At 33.3% G+C, this 12732-nt stretch overlaps 1 long non-coding RNA gene across 1 annotated transcript in view; it reads left to right on the top strand.

Moving 5' to 3' along the window:
* The window catches only part of LINC01885 (long intergenic non-protein coding RNA 1885), a 159884-nt gene that overhangs the window by 13200 nt on the left and 133952 nt on the right, over positions 1-12732 (top strand). The window contains exon 2 of the long non-coding RNA NR_183423.1: positions 508-591. This is a non-coding gene — a long non-coding RNA (long intergenic non-protein coding RNA 1885). The remainder of the gene's footprint in view (positions 1-507; positions 592-12732) is intronic.

Genomic DNA, 12732 nt, shown 5'->3' with positions numbered 1-12732 from the left:
CGCCTACTGGAGCCTGACTATAAAATTCACCACATGTGCTGCCAGCTGGCCTTTCCTCTTGGAAATCTCCTCCCTCTCCCTAGAGAGAGAGAGAGCTGTTTTCTTTTCTTTTTCTTTTCCCATTAAACCTCTGCTCCTAAACTCCTCATATGTGTCTGTGTCCTAAATTTTCTTGGTGCAAGAGGATGAACCCCAGGTATTTACCCCAGACACCATAACTGCTTCAATATCGCTTTTGCTCATGTTTAAAAAAAATACTCCTAATTGTAATTCTTTTTTGTGAACATGTGACTAAACAAAATGAGTACAGCACAACAGGTTCCTGTTGTGCATCAGGATAATAATCTAGTATTTTTATCCATTTTTTGGATAAATGTATTTAACTCCATTTTTTCAGAACTGGTCATGGAACACAAACATTGTCTTGGTAAATAAATGCCTCATTTATTTACCAATAATAAATAAATATTATTTATATTTATTTATTTATCTCTACTTTTATTTTAGGTTCAGGGAATGCATGTGGAGGTTTGGTACATGGCGATATTGCTTGTTGCTGAGGCTCAGTGTAAGAATGATCCTGTCACCAAGGTAATGAGTACAGTACCCGATCGGTACCCTTCCATTCCATGTACCACTCCCACCCTTCTTCCTTACGCAGCCCCCAGTGTCTATTGTTCCCATCTTTGTATCCATGTATACTCAATGTTTAGTTCCCACTTGTATATGAGAACATGCCTTATTTGATTTTCTATTCCTGCATTAATTTGCTTAGGATAATGGCCATCTGCGTTCATGTCCCTGCAAAAGACATGATTGTGTTCTTTTTGATGGTTACGTAGTATCCCACGGTTTATATGTACCAGTTTCTTTATGCAGACTACTATTGATAGACATCTTGGCTGACTCTGTGTCTTTGCTAAGGTTACTAGCTCTGTAATGAACATACGAATGCATATGTCTTTTTGGTAAAATGATTTATATTCTTTTGGATGTATACCCAGTAGTAGGATTACTGGGTCAAATAGTAGTTCCATTTTAAGTTATTTGAAATATTTCCACGCTGCTTTGCACAGTGGTTGAAATAATTTACATTTCTACCAGCAATGTATAAGTGTTCCCTTTTCTCTGCAGCCTTGGCAACATCTATTTTTTTTTTTTACTTTTTAGTAATAGCCATTCTGACTGGTGTGAGGTGGTATTTCATTATGGTTTTGATTTTCATTACTCTAATGATCAATGATAATGAGCATTTTAAAAATGTATTTGTTTATCACATATATGTCTCTTTTGAGAAGTATCTGTTTATGTCCTTTGCCCACTCTTTAATGGGGTTGTTTTTTGTTGGTTGAATTATTTAAGATCCTTACAGATTCTGGATATTGGGCCTTTGTCAGATACAGAGTTTGTGAATATTTTCTCCCATTTTGTACGTTGTCTCTTTCCTCTGTTGATAGTTTATTTTGCTGTGTGGAATCTTTTCAATTTAATTAGGTACTACTTGTCAATTTTTGTTTTCGTTGCACTTGCTTTCAAAGACTCAGTCATAATTTGTTTGCCAAGGCCGATGTCCAGAATGGTATTTCCTAGGTTTTCTTCTAGGGTTTTTATTATTTTAGGCCTTATATTTAAGTGTTTGGTTTACCTTTAGTTAGTTTTTGTATATGGTGAAAAGAAGTGGTCAAGTTTCAATATTCTGCAAATAACCAGCCAGTTATCCCAGCACCATTTATTGAATTGGAAGTCCTTTTCCCAGTTTGTTATTGTCAACTTTGTTGGCCGGGTGCCGTGGCTCACACCTGTAATCCTAGCACTTTGGGAGGCCAAGGCAGGTGGATCTCCTGAGGTCAGGAGTTCAAGACCAGCCTGGCCAACGTGGTGAAACTTCATCTCTACTAAAAGTACAAAAATTAGCCAGGCCTGGTGGCAGGTGCCTATAATCACAGCTACTTGAAGGCTGAGGCAGGAGAATCGCTTGAACCTGGGAGGTGGAGGTTGCAGTGAGCCATGATTGCGCCATTGCACTCCAGCCTGGGTGACTAGAGTGAAACTCCATCTCAAAAAAAAAAACAAAAAAAAAAAACTGTCGAAGACCAGTTGGTTGTATTTGTGCAGCTTTGTGAGTTCTGTATCCTGTTCCATTGTTCTATGTGTTGTTTTTGTACCAGTACCATGATGTTTTGGTTATTGTAGCCTTGTAGTATAGTTTGAAGTTGGGTAGTGTGATGCCTAGTGGCTTTGTTCTTTCTGGTTAGCTTTGCAATTCAGGCTCTAAAATTCATATGAATTTTAGAATAGCTTTTTTCTAAATCTGTGAAAAACGACATTGATAGTTTGATAAGAATAACACTGAATTGATACATTTCTTTGGGCAATTTGGCCATTTTAACATTATTGATTCTTCTAATCCATGAGCTTGGAATGTTTCTTCATTTGTTTGTGTCATTTTTTATTTCTTTCAGCAGTGTTTTGTAATTCTTCTTGTAGAGATGTTTCACCTCCATGGTAAGCTGTATGCCTAGGTATTTTAATCTTTCTGTGGCTATTGTAAATAAGACTGCATTCTTTATTTAATTCTCAGTTTGGATATTATTGGTGTATAGAAATGCTACTGATTTTTATACATTGATATTGTATCTTGATACTTCAATGAAGTCGTTTATCAGTTCCAGGAGGCTTCTGGCAAAATATTTGGGGTTTTCTAGGTATAGAATCATATCTTCTGCAAAGACAGATAGTTTAACTGCCTCTCTTCCTATTTAGATGCCTTTAATTTTATTATCTTGCCTGATTGCTCTGGCTAGGACTTTCAGTAGTATTCTGAATAGGAGTGGTGAGAGTGAGCATCCTTGTCTTGTTCCAGTTCTCCAAGGGAATGCTTCCAGCCTTTGCCTATTCATGCCTTATTAAACCATGTAATAATGTATAGTGCAACTAAGCATTTTTGAATGATGTCTGTTTAGATAGCAAGCATCAGTGACTTATGGTTTATTAACAAATATATTTTGTTACTTCCAAAACATAGAAAATGATCTCTACCTGATAAAGGCATTTAACAATAAAATATGAAAAAAGGAAACATTTATACCAAAGAAGGCCTTGTAAAAACCAAAAAAGATTATACTGCAAATATTTAATATTAAAAGCTATCATTCTTAAGATAAAAAGTAAAAAAAAAATAAAAAAAACTCAAAGGATTAATTACTCTCTCCCGTAGTCTTGATCTTTGTTTCATGACAAATATTCCAGGTGTAGGAAATGTCTTTGAATTTTTGTTGAAGTTGGTCACATGTGTAAGTGCATCTTAGAGCCTCTTTATACTGGGTGTTAATGCATATATCGGTTCATGCAAATATTTTGTTGGCTTACTCTGATACTGATTTTATTTGTGTGTGTTTGATGAAAATCTCCATTGCTTTTCTAATTCAGATTTTCAGATGTTTGTAATTTCAAGTCACAATATTCACAAAGAATATCATGTTCCTTCTTTGCATGTCTTCTGTTAAATTATTTACAAAGAACTGTAGTCTGTAGTTAAAAAGGTTAATAGCACTCCACAGAATCTCTTTCAAAATTGCCAATCTAAGGACTTTTTTGCTTCCAAAGCTTGCTATTTCTTGGGGAACTACACAACAGAGTATACTGTATATAAAGTATACTGTGCACATGTATTTATTAATGTTTATTTCATTTGCAAGAATGACTAAGCATTAGCAGCATACAGAGCCAGAAAAACACACATAATATGGCAGTTACAAATAACACTGATTAGAAATTGTTGGCTTCTCTCCCACATGTTTTTGTGCTGGCTCATAGAAATCTGACCTTAATCGTTGACTTCTAGTCCACTTTTTCCACTTTTGTTTTCAATTTATTGTCAGTAAATTATTAAATTCCTTTGAACCAGTAACATTCTTATGTTGCTTTGTAAGCTTTACTTTTCATATGAGAATTATAATACTTTTTTCTGTTTTCATGATTTATTGAATAATTTTTCACAGGATTTGAAATTTGGAAAAGCCTATAAAGTTTTCAGAAAATTCCAGAAAAAAAATTCTGCACAGAAGCATTTAACTATATTTAAACGTATGAGATACAGCTGATGGAAACATAATATTTGACTTGGAAACCATTATTGTAAAAACTAATACATTGTCTTTCTTTCCTGCTTCACATATTCATCAATTGCCTACAATGCGAAAGACATTATCCTAAGTACTCACATGAAAACAAAAACAAAATGGAGTTGTAGATGCTGGCAAGGCTGTGGAGAAAAAGGAATGCTTGCCTACTGTTGGTGGAAATGTAAATTGATTTAGCCTCTGTGGAAAGCAGTTTGGAGATTTCTGAAAGAACTTAGTACTATCATTCAACCCAGAAAGCCCATTATTGGGTATATATTGAAAAAATCATTCTACTAAAAAGACACATGCATTTGCATGTTAATCTCAACACTATTCATCATAGCAAAGACATGGAATCAACATAGGTGCCCATCAACAGTGGACTGGATAAAGAAATTGGTACATATACACCATGGAATACTATGTAGCCATAAAAAAGAATAAAATCACATGCTTTTCAGCAACATGGATGCAGCAAGAGACAATCATCCTAAGTGAATCAATGCAGGAACAGAAAACCCAATACTGCATGTTCTCACTTATAAGTGGGATCTAAACATGGGGTACTCATGGCCATAAAGCTGTAGACAATAGACACTAGGGACATCTAGAGGGGAGAGGGAGCGATGGGGCCAAGTGTTGAAAAACTGTTAGGTACTATGCTCACTACCTGAGTGATGAGATCTTTTGTACTCCAAACCTCAGCATCACATAATATACCCATGTAACAAACCTGCACATTTACTCACTGAATCTAAAATAAAAGTATCGAAATTTTTTTTTAATGAGTTGTATGGGGTCTTGCCCTCAAGTGGCCTTAGGGGTAAAAGGTGGTTAGCTAGAACATGCAGTAGAATATAAATTAGCATAAAGAGCATCTAAGACAAAGAAAGAGGTGAAGATAAAACATAATGGGACAGCATTGGAAAGATAGTTATTACAACTCTATCTATTCCAAATAAATTCCAAATACTTATTCTAAAATACACAGATTTTAGATAACTGAGAGCAGTGGTGATGGGGAAGGGAGATTATAATACAAACACAGACACTAAAACTGGATTACCTAGCTTCTAATTTCAAATAGCCCCAAAATTTTCCAAATGTATGTAGTTTCTTAAATTCCCTATGCCTCAACTTCTAACTCAGTTAAATGGAAAAATAATGTAATTACCTGAAATGGTTATTCTGATGATTAAATAAGTTAATACATGTAAAGCTCTTAAAATGGTAAGTGGAGCATAATAACCAATCAATAAACATTAGTTCCTATTTTTGTTGTTGTTGTATTTAATATTTTTCCTGGATAAATAACCAACATGGAAAAGGCACAAATGTGGGAAATGAGGCCAGGTGCAGTGATTTACGCCTGTAATCCCAGCACTTTGAGAGGCCGAGGCAAGTTCATCACCTGAGGTCAGGAGTTCGAGACTAGCTGGGCCAACATGGTGGAACCCTGTCTCTACTAAAAATACAAAAATTAGCCAGATGTGGTGGGGTGCACCTGTAGTCCCAACTACTCGGGAGGCTGACGTAGGAGAATCGCTTGAATCCAGGAGGTGGAGGTTGCAGTGAGCTGAGATCACATCACTGCCCTCCAGCCTGGGTGACACAGCAAGATTGTGCCTCAAAAAAATAAATAAACTAAAATAAAGTATATAAACTTTTGAGCAGGAAAATTTTTAAAAGCAACATGTATTCACAATAAAAAAATGTGGGAAATGGAAGACTCATAGAGAAACAGTGGGTAATTTTGTTTAGTTAGAGCATGAACCTACAAAAATAAAATGAAGAGTAGAAAACAAAATTTTAACTTTCTGTCTCTATTTCTAACCCATTAACATATCATTCAGTATTATCCCTTAAAAGTCATCTATGGCTGCACTATAGTTTCTACAATAGTAACTTTCAGCAGTTCAACACTCCTACTGAACAAAATAAAAAGCTTATAAAATTATATATATAGCTATGTCTAATGTATCTAGGAATAAATGATCCAAGACTGCTGAGAGGCAAGCCATGGGGAGATGAGTTCATGTTTCATAGTTACTTTTTCTAGTTATAGTTCCTCATTGTGAGAATCCATCAAGATGCTGACATCCTAGGCTTTGCCCAGGAAAAGAGGCACTACCTGGTGCGGGGGTAGGCATGGGGGTAGATAAATAAGAAGAGCTTTGACTGTCATGGAGCTGAAAAAAATGACAAATTATCTGTCCAAGATCTTGCTGAGCAGAGACAGGTAGAGAACTAAGCCTGACACAAGGCAAGAAAATACATTTCTATACTCTAATAGCGGATAATTAAAAGTACAGTTTTTAAAGCTCCAAGTACAATTATGTGGAAATCATAATATGCTTAGGGATATGTTTTATAAGACACATATAAAAATTCTATACTAGGAAATAAAAGGAAACATTGGTGAGAAAAATTAAAGAAGACCTAAATAAATGAAGAGGTATCTTATGTTCATGATTTGAAAGAATCAATACAGTAAAATTATCAACTCTGGCTATATAAAACTATTGAATTGATCCTATGCGTTCGGCCAGATGTTTATAGAAATTGACATGCTGTTGTTAGTCTACAAGAATATGCAAATAAATTAGTATTTCTAATACATGTATTCTAGATAAAACAGAACAAAGTTGGAGGTTCTTATACTGACTTCAAAACTTAATATAAAGCTACATTAATCAAGGCAATATGATTCAGGCATGAGGATTAACAAATAAGTGAATAGCACAGTATATAAAGCCCCCAAATAGTCATTTGATTTTTCAACCAATGTGCCAAAGCAATCCAAGGAAGAGAGAAAGCCTGTTTAAAAATAATGTAGTTTGGATATCCATAAGAAAAAAGAAAAACAGTAAGTGTTTAAGCCTTGACTCCCAGCTCACCATTTACCTAAATATTAATTTGAGGTTGATTATACAACCTAAACATAAAAATTAACATTATGAAGTCTTTATAAGGCAAGTTACCTTTTGAGAGAAAATGTCTTTATTATATGAAGGAAAGCAACAGTTTCTTAGCTAGGACACGGGAAGCAATCAACATTGAAGAAAAAAGTTGAACTGTATGTTACCAAAATGCTCATTAAGAACACTGGCGTGTCATTACTAAGGAAAAAATATTTTCAATAAACATACGTAGCTGATGAAGGACTGTTACCTAGGATATATAAAGGGTTCCAATAACTCAGTAATAAAAAGACAAACAAACAAAAATTTTTAATGATTTCTACAGACACAAAAGAAGATATACAAATGTCCAATATGCATATGAAACACCAGGGAACATTGGTCATCATAGAAATAAAATTTAAAACCATAATAAGAAAATACCCACTCAAATGGCTAAATTTATAAGAACTGGCAATATTAAATGTTGGTGAGGATCATAAGCTTTGATGCATTGTTGTAGGGAGTATAATACGATACTTCCACTTTGAGAAAGGGCTGAACATTTTATGTAAAACAAAAGATAAGTTTAGAACTAAAAGAGTAGAAAATTTTCCATTATCAGCCACAGTGGAGTAAGAAGTGTTAAATTTATCCTTCCCTCTTAAGTAAGAAACCAAAAAAAAATATGACAGAATGATTTACAGATCTTATAAAACAAGCAAACACAAGATAGTGATTCCTGAAGGACAAGATATAAGGTGAGCCCTAAGATTAAAACAGCTACTTCCTGAGTTTCCAGTCCAATTTGCAGTAAAAGAGAACTTAGAGGTTAGCAGCCTACCTCAGTTGAGGCAATGTTGAAAATTTAAAGAAGCCAAGGGAACTAAAATTCACATAGCTGAATAACATAGAGAAGAGAGCTTCATGAAGAGGAGAGAACTACAGAGAGAGAGCCACAGAGGCCTGTAGGGGGTTCCCTTCAAGTATTAAGCTAAGTATTGATTAGTATTTGTATGTGAGGAAACTGAGAGTGGGAAAGGAACAGGTATAATAATTTCTATAGACCACAAACACTGTCAGCAGATACAAGAAGACTTGTATTCCTTGGGGCTTTGGGTCGGGTATTCAGAAATGTATCATCCTAGTAGCAGGACCAAATTCGTTCTGGAATAAAGAGTACTGTGGCCTTGACTCACAAGTTTTAAAAACAAGCCTCAAAAGAGATCAAATTATTTATAATAATTTTACTGTATCTCACAATAAAACTGGAAAAACAGCTTAAGGAATCCAAAAAGAAAAAAACAACCTAACATTCAATAATGCAAAATTCTTAATCTTTAGTATTCAATTCTAAAACTGACCAGACAGGCAAAAAACAGGAAAAATATATCTATAATGAGGAGAAAAATAAACCATTAGAAATGTCTCTTAATAAAGTTAGTAGAGAAAGACATTAAGCCAGCTATTATAAATATACTTTGGATGTCCAAGAATGTAGAAGACAGAAAGAGCATGTTAATAGGAGATATGTTAGATATTAGAAAGACTCAAATTGAATTTCTAGAGGTGGGAAATATGCTGGAACAGGAAAATAGCAGATTAGGCAGACATCACACAAGAAAACCTTAGTGAACTAATTCTGCATTGATATAAACTGTCCAAAAATAAACAAAAAAAACAAAAAGACTGAAAACAGAATGGGTGGAGTCTCAGTGAGCTGTAGGACAATTTCAAGCAGGCTAATATATGTGCAATTTATTGCACACAAGAGAATGAGTTGGGGAGAAAGGAAAAACACATGAAGAAAATATAGCCAACATTTTTCCAAATGTTGGAAAACATGAGCCCAGTGCTATAGACTGAATGTGTTTCTCCCACCCCAAATTTATAAGTTGAAACCTTAATATCCAATGATGGCAGACACCTCATGAGTGGAATTAGTGCCTCATAAAAAAGACCCTGGAAAGCTCCCTCACTCCTATCTGCCATTTAAGGAAAAAGCAAGAAGATGGCTTTGAACCAAAAAGTGGACCCTCACTACTGAATCTGGTAGCGTCTTGACATTGGACTTCCCAGCCTCCACAACTGTGAAAAATACATTTCTGTTGTTTATAAACCACCCAGTCACCCAGGCTGTGGTATTCTATCATAGCAAGCAAAACAGACCAATACACATAGACCTAAGAAGTTCAGTAAATCCCAAGTAAAAGGAACATGAAGAAAACTACCCCAAGTCACCTCATAATCAAATTGCTCAAATGCAGTGATAAAGAGAAAATCTTAAAAGCACACCAAAAAAAAAAATACACAGAATATGCTGAGTAACATACATAAAAATCACAGTTAACTTTTTATCAGAAAACAACAACAACAAAAAAAGACAGTGGAGCAGTATATTTAATGTTCTGAAAGAAAAACCAAAGAAACAACCTAGAGTTCTATATCTAACAAAAATATCTTTCAAAAATAAAGGTGACCTAGACTTTTCCATAGAAATCCTGAAAGAATTTTTCACCTGCATACTTCAGAAAATTTCAAAGGAAGTCATTGAAATAGAAGAAAATGATACAGATGGAAATTTGGGTCCACGCACAAAAAAGAGCACCTCATATGTTGAATATGCAGAAACACAGTGGGAGATTTCAAAGCCTTTCTCTCAATAAGTAATAGAACATGAAGGCAAAAATTATGATTATAAAAAATATTGAACATGACTATCAAACAACTTGACTTAGCTGGCATTTATAAACCACTCTATCTAAGAATAATAGAAAACACATTATTTCCAGGTGGACACTTGACCTATATTCTGGGTCATAAAACAAGTCCCAATATGTTTAAAAGTTTCTATGTCATATCAAATATGTTCTATCATTTAGATGGAATTAAATTCGAAATCAAAAAGAGAAAAATATGTGAAAAATCCCTAAATGTTTGATAGCAAAAAATATGTCTATATAACCTATGGAACAAAGAAGAAAGTTTTCAAAAAGTACTTTGAATGTAATTTAAATGAAAATAAAATGTAAGAACATTTTTGGTGTCCATGCTTGCATAAGAGAAAAATAGAGGTCTCAAGTCATTGACTTAAGCCCTGAATTTAACAGAATAGGTAAAGAAGAGCAAAGTAAACCCAATGTAGAAAGAAAATAACAATAAAAGTAAAGGAAGAAGTAAGTAAAATGCTAAACAGAAAAATACAGAAAATCAGTAAAATCAAAAGAAGTGATCGATAAAAATTTTAAATATGCAACCAGAATAATCAAGAAAACAAAGAAGACAATTTAAAAATATCAGAAATGAGAGAGTAGGCATCACTAGACTTTCTATAGACATTAAAAGGATAATAAAGGATACTAAGGATACTATGGACACATTTATGGGAATAAATTTCACAAGTTAGATGGAATGAACAAATATCTTAAAATATATATAATTCCAAAACTCACAAAGAAAGATAATCTGAAAAGCCCTATATCTATGAAGAAATTGATTTTGTATTTAAAAGCATTCCTAGAAAGAATTCCTCAGATGGCTTTGTTGATGAATTCTACCAAACATTTAAGGAAAAAATACTATCAATTTTATACAATTGATATTGGAGAATATAGAAGAAACATCCATACCGTTTTATGAAGTTATCATTACCCAAACACCAAAACTAGACAAAAAGAGTATAATAAAAGCAAACTAGAGGCCAATATCTCTGCTAAACATAGAGGCAACTATTCTCAAGAAAGATTTGGAAATTAAATCTAACAATACATTTATATAGAAAGTAAGGTATTATAATCAAGTAGAATTCCTTCCAGGAGTTCAATGTTTGTTTAACACTTGAAAATCAATTAATGTAATTAATAATACTAACCAACTGAAAAACTAAAACCGTGTGATCTTAATTGACACAACATATTTGACAAAATCAATATGTATTCATGATTAAAACTCTTAGTAGAGGAGAAATAAAATGGAACTTCTTCTATTTAATGGAAAGAATCTATTAAAAACTTACAGCATCATACTTAATGATAAAATACTTCATAGTTTCTTTGTAAGACTGGAAATGAGATAATAATTTCTACTCTTACCATTTCAATTCAACAGTCTCAGAAGTCCTAACCATGCAAATAAAAGGCATACAGATTAGAAAAGGAGAAGTAAAATGGTCTTTATTTGCAGATGAGATAATTTTCTATGTAGAAAATACTATGTAATCTATGGAAAAAGTACTAGAAATAATGAGTGACTTTAGGAAGATTGCAGGATTTGAAGTCAGCGTACAAATATAAATTCTATTTCTATATTCTGGAAATGAACAGAAAGTAAAATTGAAAATAACAATTTTATTTGTAATATATTTATACTTTAATCACATTATTTCTCTAGTTTAATTTATAGATAGATGACAGATGATAGATAGATACATAGATAGATAGATTTAATATTATCTTCATCAAAATCCTGGAAGCCTTTTCTGTTGAAAATGACAAGGTGATCCTTACATTTATTTAAGCAATGCAAATAATGTAGAATTACCAAACTATTTTTGACAAAGAATAACAAATACAGAGAACCTAGAGTATCTGATTTTAAGATTTATTTCAAGACTACAATAATCAAGACAGTATGGCATAAAGATGGAAATATAAGCCAAAAAAACAGGTTAGACAGTGCATAAATAGACCTACAATGTGTGCAATTGATTTCTGGCCAAGGAACTGAGGAAACTAAATGAGGAGAGAATAATATTTATATCAAACTGTACTGGAACTACTGGATAGTCCTATGCAAAAGAACTGAGACTTTATCTCATACAATATTAAAAAACTCAAATTGAATCATAGAGCTACATGGGAAAGTTAAAACTATATAAGTTCAAGAAGAAACCAAGAGGTCATTTTAGTAATCTTGGCTCTGACAAAGATTTCTTAAAGTGGGACCCGGCACGCTTAAAATATATAAAAAATAATTTGGACTTCATTAAATTTTAAACATTTGTCCTTCAATATACATATTTAAGAAAACCAAAAGGAAAGCTATGAATTGGAAGAAAACATTTACAAAACACATGCATGAAAAGACAAAGTTCTTGTATCATATATATAACATATATAATACTGACAAAAATAAGAAAAATAAATCAGTAAAAATGGAAAAATATTTAACAGAAATATCACATGCAAAAAATATACAGATGCAAAAATATCACATGCAGAAAATGTATAGTTGGAAAGTAAGCACCTGAAAAGTTGCTTAATATCATTAGTCATGAGGAAGGTGCAAATTAAAACCAAAATAAAATACCACTATACATTTGCTGAAACAGCAGAAGTTTAAAAGACAGTCTATATCAGATATTGGCACGCATGTGTTACAACTGAAGCTCTCTTTCATTGCTTCTGAAAATGGAAAATAGTACAACCATTTGAAAAATATTTTGGCAGTTGCTTGGCAAACTAAACATGTACTTATCATGTGAACAGCCATTCTATCTACTCTTAAGAATATAGCCGAGAGAAATAAAAGCACGTGCTCACACCAGGACTTTTACACAATTACAATATCAGCTTTATTTGTAATAGCCCAGACAACTTAAACCAACCCAAATATCTATCAAAATGCGAATGAATACATTACGGCACATCCGTGCAGTAGAATACTCCTCTGCAAAACAGAAACAAAGCAAAACAAAAAGAAATTGTAGA

Source organism: Homo sapiens, chromosome 2, assembly GCF_000001405.40.
Source record: "Homo sapiens chromosome 2, GRCh38.p14 Primary Assembly".
NCBI lineage: Eukaryota > Metazoa > Chordata > Mammalia > Primates > Hominidae > Homo > Homo sapiens.
This window is presented reverse-complemented; position numbering and strand designations above follow the sequence as displayed.